The 23,247-nt window shown below is 40.0% G+C and overlaps 3 annotated features.

The window, feature by feature from the left end:
- Positions 1,792–1,861: an enhancer, noted in NCBI's record as "active region_29720". NCBI's record gives its function as "activates an Ori minimal core promoter by ATAC-STARR-seq in GM12878 lymphoblastoid cells {active_cell/tissue: GM12878}" and the evidence as "EXISTENCE:reporter gene assay evidence [ECO:0000049][PMID:35858748]".
- Positions 8,750–9,044: a silencer, noted in NCBI's record as "tiled region #12317; HepG2 Repressive non-DNase unmatched - State 24:Quies". NCBI's record gives its function as "represses a minimal TATA promoter and a strong SV40 promoter by Sharpr-MPRA in HepG2 cells {active_cell/tissue: HepG2}" and the evidence as "EXISTENCE:reporter gene assay evidence [ECO:0000049][PMID:27701403]".
- Positions 20,130–20,189: an enhancer, noted in NCBI's record as "active region_29719". NCBI's record gives its function as "activates an Ori minimal core promoter by ATAC-STARR-seq in GM12878 lymphoblastoid cells {active_cell/tissue: GM12878}" and the evidence as "EXISTENCE:reporter gene assay evidence [ECO:0000049][PMID:35858748]".

Here is a 23,247-nt window from a genome sequence, read left to right as displayed (position 1 = left end):
GTAGTCAAAATTGAGAAACAGAGCCTCTGAGGGATAAAAGGAAATACTCAGTATCACAAAGCAAATTAGTGGAAAGCTGAAATTTAAACCCATCCCCATGGACTCCAAATCACATGTTCTTTCACTCTGCCAGAATGCCTCCTGGTCCTGGAATACCATTTTACTTCCAACTTCTCTCCTGGCATACAGAACCAGCTACATAATTTGCAAGGCCCAGTAAAAAATGAAAACGATAGGCCCTTTATTTAAAAATTAAGAATATCAAGATGATGACAGCAGAACATTAAACTAAGTGTGGGGTCCTTCTAAGCATGGAGCCCTGTGAAGCTGTACAAGTCATATGCCTATGAAGCTGGCTCTGGGGCACAGTTATGACCACAAGCCACATTCTGTCATCTTGGGGCTTGCTGAAGGAAATAAATAAGGAAATTCACATTTATTGGAGTACTTATGATATTCTTTCATGTGTATTATCTAATTTATTCAACAACTCTCTGGTATGGTATTATTATTCTTATTTATAGGTGAGGAAACTGAGGCACACAGAAATAAAGTGACCTGTCTAAGGAAACAAAACTAGAAAATAATAGAGAAGGCAGATTTTTCACTCAGGTCTAACTCCAAATGTTGAGGTTTTCGTCTACTTTCCCACATTGGCTACAAGGAAGGGAGAAGAAAGTAGTTGACTTTGAGAAAGAAAAATTAGTGCCAGACCCCTAAGTTCAACTGTGACCTTCAGGCTAATGAGGGACATGAAAGGTGTGAAAAGAAGGTGGATGGTTTCTTAATGCCTCATGTTTGCAGTCTCCTGGAAGTCCCCACTAACAGCCAGGAAGATGATGAATTCCCATCATGCAGTGCCCTCCACCATGAATTCTGATGGCATGAAGGATGGGAGGGGCAATGCTTTCAGGTTATACTTTGATAGCTTTCAATGACTGCAGTGCCCAAGTCACAGTCCTCTGTCTACACTAGTGGAAGTATGGCCCTGAGTGATAGTCAAGCCGTGGTAAATAATCTTTTCAAGCTATGTACATTCTTATATACTCAGGCTCAAAAGAAAGACCACATTCTGCGAGCCAAGAGCCCTGGGCCCTAGTCCCCACTCTACTACCTCCCTGGGCATTAGTTTCTCCTTTAATCAACAGAGGTTGGACTAAATGGTCTTGGAGACCACTCCAACTCAAACATTCCCTGGTTCCTTTGTGGCTCTTCGTTACTCACTGTGGGCTTCCCCATGGTTGCAGGACCTGAGGCTCTGTGAAAGCCTGAAATAGGGATTCACTTGCACTAACATCACTCTGTAGAAAACTTCCTTCTACCAGAATAATTTATTGGCTCAGGCCTCAAGACCCCAGATCTAGCTTCTAGAAAGATTCAGTTCTTGTTTCTTTTGGTTTCTGACTAAAGCTTGGAGCGGAAGTAGGGTAGTCCTGCGGGCACTTTGCTAAAATGGGACCCCCTTCTTCCTACGCATACCATAGAGATTAAGTTTAGCTACACACGTTTTTTTCTTCCCTATCAATTAGGGTACTCTACTGGCCTTTTAACAGGGGTTTCTGGAGACAATGTGTTTACCTAAAGTAGTAATTAATGGTATCTATTTTGAGTCCAAAGACAGGGCAATAAAAGAGAGCATTAGGAAACAGAAGGCTCTGAAAATCATACTACCTATGCATATGGCCTGAATGCGAGAAAAGGGAACTGTGCTCAGAGTTCCTCTTTAGCCCACAAACACAAAGTATGCTGGGAAGGGCCAAGTTTCCAATAACAGCACAAAGGGGCTTCTTCTTTTTGATCTGTTGTCCAGGCTTCTGCAGAGAGCAACCAAAAGTCACAAAGTTTTCCCATTTTGTATGATTTCTGCCTTGCCTGTGCTTGTGAAGGGAGATGAGAAAGAAGGGAAAATAGTTGACAAGCGGAGCAAGCAGGCAGTGCTGGGGTCCCACACTGCAGACACACTCATTTGTTTCCGCAGTACTGGAATGGAAAGAACACTGAATCAGAGTCCCTGCATCTTAGACCCTGGGTTATAGACCAAGCTCTGTAACTTATTGATTATGTGACCTTGAACAATCACACACAGCCTGTCTGAGCCTTAGTCCTCACATCAGATTGAAGGATTCTCAGGCTAAAGGGAAATGGAAGACAGGTGTGCACCCCAAGAGCTATGTCACCCTACAGAATATGATAAGTAATTTGACAAAGTCATGAAGTGCCGTCAGATACGTATATAAGATTCTCCCAGGGCAGAAGATGAGAAGGTGATGGTAACTGGAAAGGTTCTCAGAAGAATAAGATTTTGGCTACATCTTAAGGGATAGAGAGGAAAAAAATGATGCTCACTGTCTCTGGAAAGCCTTCTCTGACAACCACCTGCAAAATTAGTTGCTTCCCACCTTGCCCTCCTCTACTCTTGAAAAACATCCACACAGCACTTAGGTGTCAGTCTCTCCCAGAAGACCAAGCACTGCCCAAAGTAGGAACTATGTTTGATCTTTACTGTCTTCTTAGGCCTAGGAATAAACTAGTTATCCCAGAACTGTGAGGTGAATAAGTGAATGAGTCAATGCATAAGCAAAAGAAAGAGACCTCATAGCCCAATGTCCCCACATTGCTTAGCTTACCCAACCTCCATGAAGGAGCTGAGAAGCCCCCACCCTTCACTTTGAGTTTATCTTCCTGTTCACTCACCCCCACCTCCTTTCAGAAGACTTTCAAGAAGAGGCCCCAGGGAAAATTGCAAAGCTAAGGCCACTTCCTGTGCAAGTGGCTTGTGTCCACACACTCTACCTCAACCCTAGTGATTGCTATGCATAGGATTGCATTGGGGTTTCCTCTGAAAGGAAATACAAAGGCTGATGCAATGTGTAGGGCACCCGCAGGCCAGGACTAAAGAACTTTTTGTACACCTGGGCCTAGGGACAGAGGTTTCACTGTGAGGCTGCCACAAAACAGTGACACTGACAAGATAAATGGCAGCAATTAACCCAATAACTACAGCTTAAGTATATTCAGCAAGGGTGTGTTGAGCACCTACTGGCTACAAAGCTCTATGCTTGGCAAAAGGGGAAAAAATAAACATACAACAGAACAGAAATATACAACAATCTAATACAAATGTAATGCGAGCCACAATTATTATAATAACCACATGAAAAATTTTTAAGTGAAACTAATTTTAATAATATATTTTGTTTAGCTCAATACATCCACAATGTTATTTCAACCTGTAAACAATGTAAGTATTTGTTAATAAGATATTTTACATTATTCAAAATGTAGTATGTATTTTATGCAAACAGTACATCTCAATTTGAACTTGCCATATTTCTAGTGTTAAATTGCCATCTGTGGCTAGTGGCTACTGTATTGACCAGAACAGGTATAAGACATGGTCCCTACCCTCTAGGAATTCACAATCTAGTCCAGAAAACAGAGTGCTACATAAGCATGTTCAAAAAATGAGTACAATAGTGGAGGTGCATGTATGGAAAAGAGAACTGTACTGAGGGTCAGGAGATCTGGGCTACAGTCTTTTCTCTGCCACTAATTCTCTGTGTGACCTTGAGCAAATCCCTCTCCCTTTCTGGGCCTCCAAATTTCCATCTCTACAATAAGTCTGATTAAATTTATTCACAAAACAAATACAAGTTGAATGTGTTCTAAGTGTCAGGCATGGTGCAAGGTACTCAAGATGCAGAAGTGAAAAAGACATATAAAACGCTTGCCTTCTTGACATATACCGTGTGGTGGAAAATAGCCATTAAACAAATTTTTTAAATATGTCAAGAAAGGGGGAAGATCAGAGAGCAGGGAGAACACGTAACAGGATAACATAATCCACCAGACTTGGATAGGTCAAGAAAACTTCTCTAAGGAAGTAACTTTTAAAGTGAGACGGAAAAATGAAAAGTAGTGAGCCAAGTGGATAATGGGTGCAAGGCAATTCCAAGCAGAAGAAGCAACATGTATAAAGGTTCTGAGATGGAGAATAATGTGGCATATTCCAAGAAGATAAAAGGCTGGTATGGCTTGAAAAAGAGTGAGCAAAGGAAAAAATAGCACAAAGCAAATAGAAGAGTTAAGCCGGGGGCCAAACTAAGAAAGGACTTGTATGCTATGTTGGGCGTTTGAGACATGAGAAGCCAGAAAGTGTATATATGTGATGCAGTGCCCTTCTATATTCAAGCCTAGGATTTTAGGGGTCCAGACTATGGCAACAAACAGGAAAAAAAAGTTAATTTCAACTGGTTGGATTAGAGACTTCACAGAAGAGGCCGAATTTTAAAAGAGCCTTGAAGGATAACAGGATCAATAATCAGAGAAAGGCATTTCAGGCAGAGGAAAGAACCCAAGTAAAGGTGCAGAGATAGGAAAGAATATGGTGAGCTTGTGTGAATAGGGAGACTACCGATACAAAATGGCAAATATAAGCCTGAGAGCATTTTTAAGTATCTATAGATATCGTAGAATAATAGTAGCCCAAAGGCCTATCCAACACACCAAATGTGCTCTGGAGGAAACCTGGCAAAGAGGTTCGACCTATCAGGAGATCCATTTTGTACTGGAATAACAATAATTAACAAGTATTGTGAGCTTACTAAGTGCCAGGCACTGTTTGAAGCCCTTTACATATGTTAGTTTATGTAATCCTAACAACAACCTTATGAGGGAGATACTATAATTACCTATTAAATGGCAGATGTAGGATATAAATATCATGCAACAATTTATGAAAGGTAGAAATTTTGGAGCAATCTACAAAAAAATATACAATATGTCTCTGGCTGGAAAATGTCAAATTCAAGTCAGTTATCATCTCAGTCTTTAAGGGCAGTTTTTTCCAAGAAAACCTCATTAATTTCCAATTTATGATTGTTAGATAAGTCTGAGCTGAAGCTTTTGTTTAGCTTCTTAGAAAGACAAAATAAATGAAGTAAATAAAATAGGAGTTCCAGGGAGTTGTTTAAAGACAGAAAACCAAACTGGTTCTACTTACTACCCATACCTCACTCCCACTTAGAGTCCTTCAGAACCTTCCATCTATGGCAGAAATAACTGAAGTGACCCTAATCAACCATTTTAATCTATTTCCTATAATGGCCCACCTAAAGGTTTTTACTAAGCAGTAGCTGTTTTTGTTTTGTTTGTTTGTTTTTTTCTTAAAATGAGTAAAGAGTTTATCTGGGCCAAGCTTGAGAGCTGCAACTCAGGAGCATAGATTCGAGTTGCCCTAAATATACACTCCCTTGGGAAAAATTTTAAATGGACAATGAAGAAATGAATGAGGAATCAACTTTCAATAGCCTATTGTAAATAGTATATTTGGAAGGAACAAACATGTATTTATTTAAAATATATATTCTCACTCTAGTCTGTCTCTCACTCCCACTATTCACATCACACCTGTAGTCCCAGCTACTGGGGAGGCTGAAGCAGGAGGATCACTTGAGCCCAGGAGTTCAAGGCTGTAGTGCACTATGGTCACCTGTGAATAGCCACTGCACTCCAGCCTAGGCAACAGAGGAAAACCTTGTCTCAAAAAATAAATAAATAAGAGGAAATTCTGTCATTTTCAACAACATAAATGGAATTGGAGATTACGTGAAGTGAAATAAGCCAGGCACAGGAAGACAAATGCCACATAATCTCACTTACAGGTGGATTCTAAGATAATGAAAGTTATAGAAGCGGAGAGTAGAATGACGGTTACAGAGGCTTGGGGGTGGGTGGAATGGGGAGATAATTTTCAAAGGGTACAAAGTTTCAGACAGAAGGAATAGGGTTTTTTTGAGATCTATTGCACAGCATGGTGAATACAGTTAATAATAGTATATTGCATGTTTCAGAATTGCTAAGAGAGTACATTTCAAATTATTCAACAAATTATAAGTATTTGAGACAATGGATATATTAAATTTAATTACTCCACATTGTATTCATAAATCATAACATCACTTTGTATCCCACAAATACAATTATAAATTTACAATAAAAAATTAAATGAATATATCTATATATCTGTATGTATCTATATATCAGTATAGAGATATTTCCTAATTCAGACTGGGGTAGTTGCCCGTGATATCATTGACTTGGCACACACAGACTATTTTCATCTTCTTAGTTTGTCTTCTGAGTAAAGGAAGGGCAAGAATTGTGCCTTTTGGGAAACAAAAAGAAAATTTAGAACAGACCCTTGAGCTTTCACCACAGCTAAACATTTGCTAGAACTAGATTTGGCACTGATTCAGGAATCAGTCAATCCCTAAAAAATTGATACCTCATGGGGTTACAAAGTGGAATCCTGAGAGCTCCTGTAAAGGCCAGATAATGCAAGGTAAGAAGCAGAAAAGCTTCATATTGGCATCAGAAGGGACACTGCCTTCTATTATCGGTTCTAGGCAGAATAGGAAGTGGGAATTGGAAGAAAAACACTTTTGTTGAGTACTTATTATGTACCACCTACTCTCACTCTCTATTACATCACTTATTACTCTCAATAACCTTATAAAATAGGAAGTGGGAATTGGAAGAAAAACACTTTTGTTGAGTACTTATTATGTACCACCTACTCTCACTCTCTATTATATCACTTATTACTCTCAATAACCTTATAAAATAGGAATCATTTCTATTTCGCAAATGTAGGCATTGAAGCATGAAGAAATTAAGCAACTTCCTTCAACGTCACATATTTAGTAAGTGGCAAAGCTGAGATTTATAATTTTGTCAGAATTTAGAATTCCAAATTCTAAAATTAAGAAGTTTATTGCTAAGATGGCATAAGAGAGGCTACTCAATGACTCACCATATCCTTTGGCCCCCTCAAACCCTGCTGCCTAGCTGTTTCCCGTAGCCTTAAAGAAAAAAGGGGTTTATTCCACTCAATTGCAAACTCCATGAGAGCAGGAACCATGTCTGTCATACCCAGTTTTCAATTAGACTGCTGATTTCTTTTTCTTAATTGATTTTGGGTGTACTTTGTATGTTAGAGAAATTTTTCCTTTGTATGTAATGAGAATTGTAATTATTTCCACTAGTTTGTCATTTGCCTTTTGACTTTGCTTCTACCATGTTATAGTTTTGTTTATTGTTTATGTCCCCTACTAGAGTGTAAGCTCCATGAGGGTAGTTATTTTATTTTATTCTTAACTATATCCCTAGTGCTAGAGCTGTCTTGTTTATAATAGTAGGTTCTCAGCAAATATTTGTTCATGAAAAAAAAATCTTCCTGTTCTGCAAGACCAGAAAATGAGGTAATATCTGAATACTGAAAGCTTTGACCTTCCTTGGACTCTGGTTCCTGATGACCTGGTTCCTGGAAGCCATCAGGTTTGAAGGTTCATTGAAAATAGCTCTAGGCAGAGTGTCAGGAGACCTGAGTTCCAGGCCCAGCTGTGTCATGGCTTATAACATGACCTTGGGAAGTTTTCTTTTTGCTCTGGGTATTGGTCTCCCTGTATCAGTTCATTCTCATATTGCTGTAAAGAAATACCTGAGACTGGGCAATTTATATATTTTTAAAAAGTTTAATTGGCACATAGTTCTGCAGGCTGTACAGGAAGCATAGCAGCATCTGCTTCTGGGGAGGCCTCAGGAAGCTTCCCATGGTGGAAGACAAAGGGGTGCAGGCACATCACATGGTAAGAGAGATCAAGGAGAAAGGAGGGAGGTGTTACACACTTTTAAACAACCAGATCTCATGAGAACTTAATCACTTTTGCAACAACAGTACCAAGGGGGATGGAGTTAAACCATTCATGAGAAACCACCCCCATGATCCAATTATGTCCCACCAGGCCCCACCTCCAACATTGGGGATTACATTTCAACATGAGATTTGGGTGGGGACACATATCCAAACTATATCACTCCCTCACTCTCCATTTCTAAATAGGGTGAACTGTATGGTCTTTGAAGGGCCCTCTTCTCTCTCCCATTCACAGATTGGTCAAGTGGTCTAGGTAACAAGGGTGTCAAAGATAGCAAGACTGACCAAGGCCCTGCCTTCCTGGAACTCATATTCAAATGAGGGACACAGGCACTTGCCAAAGTATGTCAGGATGAAAATATAAGTATTATACAGGATAAATATAGAGTATTATAAGAGCAAATAATAGTAAACCTAATCTGGTATGAGAGTTTAGGGAAGACTTTCTTCAAAAAATATTTAAGACCTAAAGAATGATCTAGACTAAGTAAAGTTCTCAGGCCTTGTATATATGTGTACATACATAATATTAATATTAATTATACTATATTTATATTACTAGTTACCTAATTTTTCATTATTATAATGAATATGATTATTTGTTGTACATAACATAGTGATACTATGTAATATATAATATATATATCACTATATACTATAATTTATAGTGATATTATAAACATTATTTATATTATATATATATATACATATATATATATATATATACATATATATATATATATATATATATATACTCACCTAACATGTGAAAAAAGCTTTCTAAACTGCAAAGTGATAATACAACTGTGAGGGATGAATTTTCTCATTTGTCTAGGGATTTCTTTTGACCTGTTTTGGACCTCCATGGGTGGCCCTCAATGAAGGTTTCTTTGAGACTGGACCTGAACCTGAATCTGAGTCCCCTTGGGATTTGTAGGGCGACCTGCTGGTGCACTTATTGGTACAAAGTAGATATAATCTATCGCTGACAAGGAAAGATATATTTTGGAGCCTGGAACTACCTCTAACCATATATTAAGCTCATTTGCCTCAGCCACTAGTGATAAAAGATGTCTTAGAAGCTGCCTGGCTTATCTGCAAATCTTGGCACTGGAGGCCGACAGAAAAGGGGAAGAAGCTCTATGGGTCTCTCTAGCAACCTTGACTATCCAGGAGATGATCAGTTCTTGGACATTGTGGCATAAATTCCCAGCATACACAAACTTTCCCATCTTCTCATTATCTCATTATCTCCAGCAGGACTGGAGACTCCAGTACACTGTGTTGATAGGGCTAGGGAACCAGAGGAAGTGGGGGAAGAGAGACAACAGTTGAAGAAAGGCTACTCTGTCCCAAGCTAGATGCTTTATGTACATCCGCTTATGTAATCTTCATAACAACTCTACAAGGTGAGAATTGTCGTATCTTTCACTGATAAGGAAATTGAATCTCAGAGTGCTCAAATGACTTACTTCAAGTAATTTATTAATCAGCTAAGCTGGAGTTCAAACCAATTATTTTTCTACTGTCTTCCATACCACATGCCACTTGGAAGGTCCATTTTAATGTCTTTCGCTGTCTTCAGGCTGGAACATATCAATTTTTACTCCAAAGCAGGAGAATTATATCTAAGTTTTGGGGATCACAAATAAGGAAATTCTCTCACTTCTCTTCACATGAACTGGTGCTCCTCTGGCAGGAAGTTGAACCTCCCATCTAATCTGAACCAGGCCTATTGTGGTTTAAGTCAACTTCCTCTTCCTTTATCCTACTTTTCTTCTGAACATTCTTCTCTGAGCTGCAAGCTGCAGCCTGAAACCTCTCAGGAACCTCTCATTTTACCCCTAAGCTAAGCAAAGGGGTTTTAGAACTGGAATCTACTACTCCACTTCACTTGCTTCTTACTACTCCATTGGCTCTGTTCTCACAAAGATCATCAACCAAATAGCCTGTTCTCAGACACTGTCCTGTTTTGTCCCTCATCTGTTGATCTCTGAGCCTGTACATATAATCACATCTTAACCAAATTTAAAAAAAAAATCTTTCTAGTGACCACCACATCATTCTTCAGATCACTCTAAAAAGTAGGTTCCATAGATTACCTCACTGTTTAACCTCCTAATCTACCATAATTTAGCTTTTTGTCTTTATTCTCATTTCTGCACTAACCTTGGTAACTGTTGTCACAAAATTACCATGAACTCTTAATCAACAAAACCAAAAGCCTCTCTACTAGCCCTCACTCCCTTCAATGTCTCTGCAACAGGTGACTGTCAGCCATTTCTTCTTTCCTAAAACCTGTCATCAAATGGTTTAGAGAATACCCTCCCTCTCCAGACTGAATTTGATCACCAGAACCACAGAAGTATGGTTCAGATGAGATGTAAAGATCAAATTCATGCCAGAGGATCATAGCCAATTGCAGAGACTGTCTTCTCCATTTGTGTCCCTGATACCTAGCAGAACACCTGATCCCAATAGTGCTCAGTGAGAATTGTTGAATTTACCTATACTCCTCTGATTCACCTATCTTCCTAACCATTCTCTTTGGTTCTCTTAACGACGTCTCTTTCTTTCCTGTTCTTTATTAAATGTGTTTCCAAATACTCTGTACTTTTGTCTTTTTGTTGTGTCTCTGCACACTTCCTTACTCTCTTTCTATCTTCCCTACCTCCAGATCAGTAGATTCAATCTAATATTGAACATATCTCCCTGAATGTCTAAGTCCTCATGCCCTAGACCCTACACCTCAAACAAACTTGGTCATAATACTGTGTTTCTTATCTCCATGGAGAAAATCCAAGTTAGAAATATCAATCATCGTTGATCATCATTATATATTTTTACTAATATTCTGATTATAACACTTATGACCTTAAAGTGTGATATTTTTTGTCCATGCCTTTTTCTCATGAGTAGCCTGTAGTTCCCTCAAGAAAAAGTATCTCTGTTTAAATTGATTTCTGTATCACCAGTGTTTGGCACATAGTAAGGGGCCTTAGTGTTAGCAATTGTTAGCTAAATTAATAAAGGGTGATGAGGTCAGCTCCCAGAGTGCTTGTATTTGAGGAAGAGAATGATTTTGTTCCTAATGATGAAGAAGAATATAGAAAAAAAAAGATGAAAATGATGTTCATTTTCATCCAGGAATGTTTTTATCCTTAAAGTTTGATATTTATTGCCAGGATGATCTTTTAATAACACAACTCTAGTGGTGTTATTGCACTGCTCAGAAAAGATGAGTGGCTCTTCATTGTTTTAAGCTTAAAGTTCAAAATTTGTCAGCTAAGTGATCAGGATCTTTCACAATCTGTACACAGCCTATGTCTTCACTGTTCTCTTCCCATCCTATATTCTGACTACTGCATGCCCTATATTCTAGTATACCTCCAGCCTTTACACATGCCTCTCTGTGGACCTGGAAAGCTTCCTATTCCCTTCACATCTATTCTGTCAGGAGACCTTGTGTTTCTTCTTCAGACCCAGCTCAATTGTCATCTCCTCTGGGAAACCTCTTTTAATTGTCCTAGACAAATTCTTCTGTGCGTTGTATGCACCTAAATTACAGCCTGATTACATTGTATTTAGAATACCTGTTTACATAGTTACAAAGTGTGCTCTACCAGGCACTGGCTTTAACTTAATAATTTTTGGATTCCCAGATCCTAGGTTAAGTTCTAACATGAAGTAGCTTTTCTGTAAATGTTGGTTAAATCTGACTAAAATGCCTGCTGAAATAAATATTAATATTTGTGCTATATAATCTGACTCCATCTTGACTTATGGATACTTTCCACACATGTTAAGTCCACAACTCCAATTCTGCCCGAGTTAAAATCTCTTCAGATGGCAGGGGTGAGTCATTTCTTAGGCTCCATACCTAGAACACAGTAGGCTTTTAGTGAACCATTTGAAATCAAGATGTGTTTGGAGGTGAACATAGGCCAGCACAGCAATCGGGTTGATGAGTAATGTCTTCTTTTTTTTTTTTTTTTTTTGAGGTGGAGTCTTGCTCTGTTGCCCAGGCTGGAGTGCCATGGTGCAATCTCAGCTAACTGCAACCTCTGTCTCCTGGGTTCAAGCAATTCTCCTGCCTCAGCCTCCCCAGTAGCTGGGATTACAGATGTGTGCCACCATGCCGGCTAATTTCTGTATTTTTAGTACAGACGGGATTTCACCATGTTGGCCACGCTGGTCTCGAACTCCTGACCTCATGATCTGCCCACCTCGGCCTCCCAAAGTGCTAGGATTACAGGTGTTAGCCACCCCGCCCAGCCAGTAATGTCTTCTAAACCTCTGTTTTCTTCCTATGGACATAATGAGACAAAATTTGAATAGAGAAAAACACAATTGCAACCAGGGTTGCATTCCTGTCACCTTAGGTAAGGAAGAAGAGGAAATGAAAATCAGAGAGGCGACAAAGCTGCGTGGGCTGGAGGGAGGAAATCTGTTGTAAATATCAAAAAGCGAAGCTGAAAATAAACCTCAGCCCTTTAGAGAATTACTAGTGAAGTTAAGTTCAATTGATTTAAAGATTGCTTTTCAGAGAGTTCATAAAACTCATGATCCTGAATTGAGGGTTGTTTGGGAAAAACCCCAAACCATTTTTTTCCTCTGCTTTCACATCAACACAACAATCAACATGGAAGATTTCTGCAGCCAAATGTGTGGGATAGTTTCCCCCACACACAAAGCAGCAGACACCAGCTGAGTGTCCTCTAATTCAATTCCAACACCATCTACCTAAAGATAGCCTCAGGTCTCACAAGTTGAGGGCTTATTTCCCAAGACTTCCCTTCACCAAAGACATCAGTCCCAAGTCCAGGCCTCCAGAACTTCTGACTGGGCAGTATCAAGCTGGGGTACCCATAACTCTCTTTTTGAGTTCAATTAATTTGCTAGAGTGGCTCACAGAACTCAGGGAAACACATTTACAGTTTTACTATAGAGAATATTACAAAGGGTACAGATAAAGAGATGCATATGGTGGGGTATGGAGGAAGTGGTGTGGAGCTTCCATACTCTCCCAGGGCACACCACTCTGCAGGAACCTTCACATCTTCAGCTATCCAGAAGCTCTCCAAACTCTGTCCTTTTGGGTTTTTATGGAGGCTTCATTACCTAAGCATGATTGACACTCATGTATAAATGTGATTGGATAAAAAGGGTATTATATCATACTAACAGACTGGGTCAGGGAAGCCAGCAAGGTTTATCTATTCAGATTCTTCTTGGCCTCTCTACACAGCATTCTTTCCTCCTAGGTATGAGTCAGGACCCTCTCTGGAATGAGGGTCTTAGGATCCACAATCAGATTAGAATGCTGCCTTGGACAAGTGAAAGGAGAGCAGGACAATATCAGAGAGAGAGAGATTCTGTTTTCTGAGGCCTGCTTCTGAGGCCTAAAGGAACTGTGGATGAAAACCTACACACACACACACACACACACATCTCTCACAGAGAGAGATTCTGTTTTCTGAGGCCTGCTTCTGAGGCCTAAAGGAACTGTGGATGAAAACCTACACACACACACACACACACACACACACACACACATCTCTCACAGAGGCCAAGAAAGAGACTACAAAATCTAGACATAGAATGTTGTAGGACAAGAGCCTGTGTAGGACCAGGTTATGACCTACACTTAGATCCTGGCTTTACCACTGATCCACTATGGAAAATTAGACAAGTTTCTTCCCTTCTCTGGGCTTCTCTGGGCTTCAGTGTCCCCATGTGCAAAATAAAGGACTAAGCTTCTTTGCATAACAAAAGGAGTGAGATAGAAATGCCCTTCAAGGATATGGCTTACTTCTCAAGCAGAGACCTCTTACTATGGACCACACGGTTTAGTTTTACAGAACCCATGCAGTTCAGTTTTGAGAAGACACCTGGAGTTGACCTGATCATACTCCATGAACTGACCCATGCAAGTCAAACTCACAGAAAGCAGATATAACACAGAGAGGCTTTTTTGTTTGGTTTTGTTTTAATTCCAGAGCTAATATAACCCAAAAACAGCTGGGAATGCTCATGTTGGCTGAATAACAATCTCTGTCTTGCTTGGAAAAATATATTCTAAAAGCCAAATTAATCAGAAAGTTGCTTGATGAAAACATGGACAAGACAAAACAGATTAAATGAGCTTAACAAACTCTTCTTTTCCCCAAACCTCATCAACTAAGATGGGATGAAAGGAGGGGTCAGGGGCACCTCTTTCTTTTATCTGTCCTTTAGACACACCATGAACACAATGACCACTTTCAGTTCTTGTCACTGTTTTTTTTTCCAGTCTTCATGCAGAATCCCCACCTGCACTTCTGCGTTGTCTCTGCAGCTGAGTTAATCCTTTTGATGAGGCTTCTACAACTTATTTAACATTCAGTCAGATCTCTTGAAATTCCACCTTAATTAGATTTCTGATTTCTTCAAGGCCCTGTTCTTTCCTGCTTTGATTAGTGAGAGCTCTCGTTCCATTAAGAACTTCTCAGGATGCCTAATCTATTATATGGTGATTTTACTGGTTGAAATCTCAGGAGAAACTTCTGCTTCGGGTTGTGGGGAAAGGGGGAGGAGAATCTTACTTTGCTCCTACCCATATATACAAAGAGCTCTGCTTTCTCCCCTGGTAGAAATAGCACTGGGCTTGGGGGACTCTGGAAGTTTCAGAGGATTTCCAGATACACTTTCTTCCTTTTGAGGGAATCAATTTAAGGAGGTTGGTAACCAATGTGCTAGGTTCTTATCAAGATAAAATACTATTTCATGGGAAAAGCCTTTGGTCCTACTGAAATCCCTTCCATGGTAAAGAAGAGTTGGTGAGCCTACTAGTCAAAGAGGACAGGTTATCCTTTTTCCTTGCTTTTCCTTTCCTTTCCTTCTTCTACTTGTCCCTCTATCTTCTTTTCCTTCTTTCTTCTCTGTTTTTTTCTCTTCTTCCCTTCTTCACTTTCTCCTATCTTCTCCAACAATCTGGAATAGATATTAGAACCAGTGCTAGGATGAGCCTGAGCATGGAACTGGGTTTTTAACTGTATCTAGCCACCATGTGCATTCTAAGTTGCAAAAGCCAGAAGAAAAAGAGAAGGAAGAAGGAAAAAAAGGACGAGAAAGAGGAGGAGGAGGAGGAACAGAACAAACAGCAGCAGCAGCAGCAGCAGCAGCAGCAGCAAAAAAGGGCTATTGGAAACAAATGAAAATGGATTTGATCTCTCTCCAGTTCTTGCAGCAATAAAAAAAAAATTCTAAAAATGGATTTAAAACACCAGGTCCCCTCCCAGGAAAGCATATAGATTTTGGGCTCACCCCCTTCCAGGACCTCTCTCCCCACCAGGGTAAGCCTTATCTACCCAAAACACTGTGGTGCAGTTTCTGCTCTTCCTGAAAATATCTGCAGCTAGGAGAAGCTTTGCTCATATTCAAAGGCACAACCATACCGTAAAAGAGCTCCCAGATAACTTTTATCCTCTGCATTCAAGAAGGAGTAGTCCTCCCATCCATATCTTCTTCCTGGGCAGTGCCAAGGGACTGGCTTACCCACTTGGGTTATAGTTCAGATGAGACTCTTTCAGCTTTACCTTGGTCAATCAGGCATAGAGTTAAAAAGTAATGTACTTATCCATTGGGCAACCTGAGATAAAAGCACTTTGTCTTCCAGGACCTCAGCTTCCTAACTGGAGGATGGGGTCATAGATTAGATCAACTAATCTCTCCAAGTTATAAAAGCTTTTAGAGGCCAAAAAGTCTCACTTCCTTGTTACACCTATAAGAATGCTGAGGCTCAGGGAAATAATAAAAAAAAAATCCATGTGAGAAAGGGACTAGCTTGTGCCTGGCTGGACATGATACATAGTAGGCTAGGTACAGTGACTGTAATCCCAGTACTTCAGGAGCCTGAAGTGGGAAGATTACTTGAGCCCAGGAGTTCAAGACTACCCTGGGCAACATGGTAAAACCCTGTCGCTACAAAAAAATACAAAAATTAGCCTGGCATGGTAGTGTGCACCTGTAGTTCCAGCTACTCAGGAGGCTGAGGTAATAGAATCTTTTGAGCATGGGAGGTCGAGACTGCAGTGGGCTGTTACAATGCCACTGTACTCCAGCCTAGACAACAGAGCGAGAACCTGCCAAAAAAAAAAAAAAAAAAGACACACAGTACATGCCAGTTCCCTTCTGACCTCTTAGCAGGGATGGGTCAAAAATACAAGGGGATTCCTAAGGTTGCATTCAATGCCTTTCACCTTTCCTGTATACCACACTGCCTTAAGATGGCTATGAATCCTAGTTGGCTTGACTATGTGCACCATTGGCACTTTCTTATCTCAGGGTCTTTGAAATTCCCTTCAACCCATGGCTGACTCCTTCTCCTTCTCATTCATTCTTCAGGTCTTAGCTTAAAATATTCTCTCTATGGAATGTCTTCCCTGCCAAACCAAGATAAAATAGCTCTTCTTACCCCTTTTCCCTCATATGCTTGGAACCCTACTGATTTTCTTAATAGCACACCTTACCATTCGGAATAATTGGTTTTTTGATCAATTTATATGTTTACTGCTGATCACCTCCCTGGCTCTAAACACTGCATTTTTGTGATTGGTAGCTCTGTGACATAAACAGAGACTGTTTGTTCACTGCTGTATTGGATATTGCTTAGCTTAGTACTTGGCACGTGGTAGGAGGTATTAAATAATATTCAGTGAGTAAATGGTGCCTCTGACACAACATAAGTTAGGATGGGAGGAGTTCGCATCACTAGGTCAATGTTATGATTGAGTTGAAATTAAGAAGTTGAAGGCATGGAAAGGCTTATGAGCTATTAAGTTGAATGAATATAAGACTAGTCAGGGCAAGGCTCACACTCTATACATGGAGGGGCCACTAGGTAAGGGCAACTGAGCAGTTGAGTTTGGAAAGAGACTGCCTCATGGTTTACTTTTCTGGAACTTGACATACTTGAGTGTAAAACAGAGGTCATAATCTTTGCCCTGCCTATATCATGGGGCTATTGTCATATCTGATGTAAGAAAGATGTGAAAAAGGAAAGTAGGATGGGGAGGGAACTCATGGGTGGGTGGCTTATCTGCCACCACCTCTACCCCAGGCTTGGCCTGAAGTGGCCTCTGTAACTGCCTCCCCAGCTTCTGGACTGCAGAGTCATTGTGGAAGGGAAGTCCCAGCAGCAACAGTCTGGACTTCTAGCCCATACCTCCTCAGTTGCTCAAGAATGACGGTTGGTTTTTGCATCAGCCTCTCTGTGTCATTCTGTCCCCTACCCCATTCCCATACTGCCTCCCCAAAGACTATGTGTGGCAATTTTCAGGCTGACATTTCTCCATCAATGTGGCAATATTCTGGTCTCCCATAGTTTGCTCAGGGACCCTAGGGTGGTGTCCTCCTATGTGGGAGGAACCAGGTTCTCTGGGCACCTCAACATGATAACTGGTCTGCCAGGAACATGTCTGTCAGGTCATCCTGCCCTCCCACAACTACTTATACCTTCGAGGGTTTATGTTAATCTGACAAGTGGGATTAGTCTTTTTGGGGCCCAGCACTGGAAATTTAGTTTAGATCAGATCAGGTCCCAAAACCTGTAAACAAAGTAGAAGACTAGTCTGAGCTATATAAACCAGATGCTAGCCCTACCTCACTCTCATCTCATCCTCTTAATCATAAGAAATTCCACCCTGGACAACATGGTGAAACCCCATCTCTATAAAACTAAAAAAATTAGCCAGACATGGTGGTGCATACCTGTAGTCCCAGCTACTCGGGAGGCTGAAATAGGAGGATCACTTGAACCTAGAAGGTCAAAGCTGCAGTGAGCTGAGATCACACAACTGAACTCTGGCCTGGGCAACAGAATGAAATGCTGCCTCAAAAATAATAAAGAAAGAAATTGAGTTAATTATGTTAGAAGATGGAGAGATGCAGATGCTCATCCTTGGCAATGTCCTTTTCCTATTATTTCTTTCATTCATTTAACAAACACATGGGTACTTATTATAAGTCAGGTCCCTGTCTACTGGGGAAGATAGCCAAATAAAATGGTGTTCCAGTTAGCCCAATATGTTCACCATTATAACATGTTCAAGTATAATATATAATATAGTATATATAAGCTACAGTGGCAAAACAGAAGGAGTGATTGACTTTCTAGGGATGTCAGGAACAGTTTCACAGAGATTTGAACTGAAACTTGAAGGATTAACAGAATATTAGGCAGTTTACAGGTAACAGTGGCAAAATCATCATAGGTATTCTAGAAGCGTGTCCTAACACAGCATGTGCAAAAGCATGAATATATAAAATGGACAGGCAAGTTTGGTGACTAAAATTCTGTATGGTTTGAGTACATGACTTATCTTGAATAGTGGTAGGAGATGAAGCTGGCTAGATGTGGAAGTCTGCATTACTGAGGACTTTTAATTCTATGGTGAGTTTAGAATTTGTCTCCAAAACAATGGAAAGTAATTGATGGGAATACTTAAACCCATTCAGCACACTCCAAAGTATGTTTTCTGGACCCACATTAGAACAACCAGTCTAACAAATGTGCATGTGGTTACAGAAGCAATAAGACCAAATATTTGAACCTGGACTATGCTGGGAAATCTGATATCTATATTCACCATATTTATTACCACCACTGCTTAAAGACAAAACTTGTCCATTTTTGGATCAAAGATCTGTAGATACAGTCAGAATTCCCATTTTGCATACTTGCCTCTAGAATGTCAAGAGCCCAAACTTTTCTAAAAAGAACAGATATTAGCCATAAAGAAGGAAAGTGCCAGTTTAGCAGAAAACCAAAGATTCTGCTAGCAAGCAGACAATGGGTGTTTACCAAGAAACCGTGAAACTCTAGACTTGCCATGGATGAGGGAGCTGACACAGCATGGGGTGTGGATAGAGAAGAGATGCAAGTACTAGATGGCAATTAATATTATACGCAATCACCTTCATCTCAAAAGTATCTCATTTATTTGTCTCTTTATCCAGCTGTTCTCTATTTATTTAGGCCTAAAAAGTTAACTAGTTTCAGCCCATGTGCTAAGAAACAAAGGACAGTGTTCCGCTGCCCAAATTCATATGTTGAAACCCTAACCCCTAGTACATCAGAATGTAACTGTATTTGGAGGCAGGGCCTTTAAAGAGGTTATTAAGTTAAAATGAGGTTGTTAGGGTAGTCCCTAATGCAATCTGACTGTTATCTTTATAACAAGAAAAAATTGGGGCACAAAAAGAAGCCAAGGATGCACAGGCACAGAGCAGACCATTTGAGAACACAATGAGAAGGTGGCCATCTGCAAGCCAACAAGAGAGGTATCAGAAAAAAACAAACTGGCTGACACCTAATCTTGGACTTCTGGCCTCCAGAACTGTGAGAAAATAAATTTCTATTGTTTAAGCCACCCAGTGTGTGGCATTTTGTTATTGTAGCCCTAGAAAAGTAGTACACACAAAGGCCATTTTTTAAGTTCTCTGTCCACTGATGCCCTTCTTAGGCCTGCCCTTCCTGGCAAAGGGAGGTCTTCTTAGTGTCTAGTATGGTCTTTCTCCTCCTCTTTAACCACTATGACCGGGTCACTTCATGGGCAGCAGAGCTTGAGCAGTGAAGCCAGCTTCCTGTATCTTCTACTTTATGTCTGGGAAAGGTGGCAAGTGATTTTGTCACTGGCAGGTTTCTCCCCTCTGTGAGGTCACCAGAAATGGTCAGAAACAGGAAAGCCCTGGCAAGAGTAGCATTGATGGGAGTTCCTACCAATTTTTAGGTAAAGACACAGGAAAAAGCAGAAAAGTTCTGGATTCTTAATTAAGAGACCTGGATTCAGCTCTGCTCATAATTAGTCATGTAACTTAAACAAAGTCCTTTCTCTCTCTGAACATTGGTTTTATTATTATTCACAAACAGGGAGACAATATATATCTCATTGATATCTTATGGTGACTACATTAAATGATATGTAAGAGCTGATTATTATCAGTTCTGAGTTGAGCCTTGGATAGTTATTGTGATAATGTGCCAAATCCCACAAGAGGCACACCCTCCATCCAACCCCACCTCCTCTAGTTGCTCACGGAGAGGTCAAGTTAGACCACACGGCTCTTGCAAACTGACCAAATCCAAATCAACAAGGAACCTATGAGCTCAGCCCTTTGCAGAAAGAGTTGAGCCTGAGAAAGAATTTGGACACATATTACTAATGAGATGGGAATTGGATGTGTCTCAAGTCTCCATCAAGGCACCACGTTGTGTCCCAAGTCCAATCTTTAGTAAGATATAGGAGGAATAGAATTTGGTGTACAGAAAACAGAAACCTACTCAATTATGTTGTGACTTGGCTGAGGTTACTGTTGTGTTGTCATAACAGAAGAGTGATTGGCTGGCTGGTGGGTGGAGGTGTCTCCATGGAGGTTAGAGAAAGAGGAGACAAAAACAAAAGAATATGTTAATGTTCCTCTGACACTCTTCAAAGAGAGGGGCCACTGAGTCTATGGATCAACCTGCTCCACAGAGACAGAAGTCTCCTAAAAGCTAATTCATCCAGCTACCCTAGCTTTAAGAAAATGTTCCAGAATGCCATCCAAGCCATTTTGCCTTACTTTTCCATTCTTCAAACACCCCTGTGCTCTCAAGTCTGACATCTGAGCAGACTCACCCTAGGACAGGGCAGCTTGGATGAATAACAGGTGTGGGTAATTCAACTTTGTTTCTGGAGAATGGAAATTAGTTTCCCTGTGCCTGACCAATTCTAGATGAGGTGATAATTAAGTTTCTGGTCTCACCAAGTTGAATTCAGACCTTGAACTTATGGTGATCTCCCTCTGAGGCCTACTCCCTGCCTGTAGTCATCTATTGGTAAAAACACTTGATTAATTTGTTTGAACCCCTCTGGATCAGAAGTTCTTACTCAGTTCTGAATTCTTCCCGGTTCTCTCCTTCTTGCTACACACACACACACACACACACACACACACATACACATCCAGGATGGAGAAGATGTGGCTTAGAAGCAGCAAGTGTAGTACAGTCTAGGGATTTGGGAGGACAGTGAGCTCAATATGTGTCAGTTATGAGGTAGGGTGGCAAAAACCTAATGCTATCTTTAACAGTAATCATAAAAATGCAGTGTTCAGAACCAGGGAGGTGACAATCCTGCTCTACTTAGCATTGGCCAGATCACAAATAGAATACTTTCCCTTCTAGGCAACACACTCCGAGAAGAACACTGACAAAGTGAGACAGCCCCCGCCCCCACATTTCCCTACAGATGGCTGTGTGTTCAAACCTCCCTCTGGAGCAGCCCTAGCCTCCAGAGTCATCACAGCCCAACCCTGTTTGTCACCCAGTCTTGAGCCATATCAGGAGCCATGAATTCTAAATAATTGAGGATCTTATGTTCTCATGCCTCTCTAGCTTTGGGAGCTTAAAATAACTAGTCAATTCAAGTAAAGGCCATTCTGTTTTGTTATAAAGCATTGTAAGTAGCAACCCGCAGTCCAAACCCTTTTTGGCCTTAGAAAGGCTTTCCTGGGTTCCAAGCCTAGGTGGGGATCTCATAGTCAATCATGAAAAGGGTGGAAACATTGGGGTACAAAATAGATTAACTGGACCACTTCCCCAAATTCTGTGGATCTGTCCTTATATAATTATTTCAAGCAGTTCTTGCTCAGTATTGTGATATTTTTCATGGTGAATGATGTCTCTCCAGTGAATCAATTGGAATGTGATAGATCACACTCTGAGACCACACTTTATTCTCCATTCTATTAATACATTTCTTGAGGTTGAAGGTGGTTTCTGAAGAATTCTGAGGTGGTGAGTTTTCTTGAGCATAGTGTTACTGTCTTCTTGAAAGAGTAGGTACAAAAAGTCTGAGGTGCTGTCTGTATCATCCTCTCTTCTGATACGGCCTGTTGATGTGGTTCATGTTATTTTCACTCTTGTTTATGTTGTTGCTTTTGTTCTTCTGGACCTTGATATTCTTTCCATTGCTCTGGTTTTGATGTTGCTAATGTTTCTTTTGCTGCTCTTGCCGGGGTTGATAGTGCTCTAATGGAGTGCACAGTCCCACTAGATTTCCCCAAGTCATAGCTTTCCATGTTTCTTTAGAAGACACTTGGCCTATCCATCACGTTTCTTGTGGTTTTCCTAGAGCAATTGTGGCACTGGGATTACAAGCCATTGGGGATACAGAGGATAGTCTCTACCTCTGCATTTTTGGCCAGAGATTAATATTGAAGTGTTTGGCCAGTGTTTTTATAGCTTACTCCATTTCATAAAAGATTATCTTTCAAGCAGATTGTGATCCCAAAGCTAATATTCCTTAGGGAAGGAGTATCAGAGATGAGACCCTTTCTTATTGGCTATGGCCCTTTGAATAAGAGCATCTGCTACTCACCCTTTCTCTAGTCCAGTATACCCAACGATCCAGCGGCCCGGCTACCTCAAGCTTTTTGTTCAAGGTACTTTTCTTTCACAACACTTATAACTATTTGTAATAGTGTATTTATATGTGTGATTGTTTAATCAATGTTCATCTTGCCGACTTGGCTGATTATCAGTTTCAACGGGAAAGGAACTATCTCTCTTTTGCTCAACATTGTATCCTCAGGAGTTTGGCAGGTACCAGGCATTCAACAAATATATGAATAAAATGGATGCCAAGTAAAGCCCACTTTCCTAATAACATTCAGAATGTTAACACAAGCTAACACTGTGCATATTTACTTAGTGGCATTTCATTTATAAACATCTAATGTGATTAAAAAACAACAAGGTAGAAAAGTGGGCGAAAAGGATAACCAAAGTGGAAAAATGGGCAAAGGATTTGAACAGGCAGTTTGCAGAAGGAGAAATACAAATATTTGTTAAGGATCTGAAAAGATGCCCAATTTTGCTAATAGTCAGAGAAATGCAAATTGAAAAAATAAAATGCTCTTTCTGATTAGCAAAAAATTTAAATAGTTTTAAGTTTGGCAAAGGCATGGAAAATAGGTAATCTGAAACACTGCTGATGAAAGTATAAATTGGAACAATCATTCTGGAGACACTTTTTCAAGATATACTAAATTTTAAAATGTGCATCCAAATGATATGACTTGCTTCAGGGTAATCCAATGTATTCCAGGGGGAGTGTAAATAGAGTATAAATGAAACAAGATTGGCCGTGTATTGATAATTGTTGAATCTAATTTTTAGTATGTATGTGGGTTCATTATAAAATTTTGTACTTTTAAAACATGTATTTGAAAATTTCCACATTTATTACAAAAAATGTATTTCATTTTTATATTATCAGTTGAAACAGTATTCTGAATATGTTGGTCTAAATCAAATACATCTTTAAAGATTTTTTAAAGCAATATAATAAAAAATATACATCCTATGACCTACTAATTTTTCTCCTTGCTGTCTATACTAAAGGAACATTCTCACACATATGCACAAGGAGTCATGACAAAAATATTTACTCCAATGCTATTTGTAATAGTGAAAAATTGGATATGACTTAAATCTACATCAATAG

Source organism: Homo sapiens, chromosome X, assembly GCF_000001405.40.
Source record: "Homo sapiens chromosome X, GRCh38.p14 Primary Assembly".
Taxonomy (NCBI): domain Eukaryota; kingdom Metazoa; phylum Chordata; class Mammalia; order Primates; family Hominidae; genus Homo; species Homo sapiens.
This window is presented reverse-complemented; position numbering and strand designations above follow the sequence as displayed.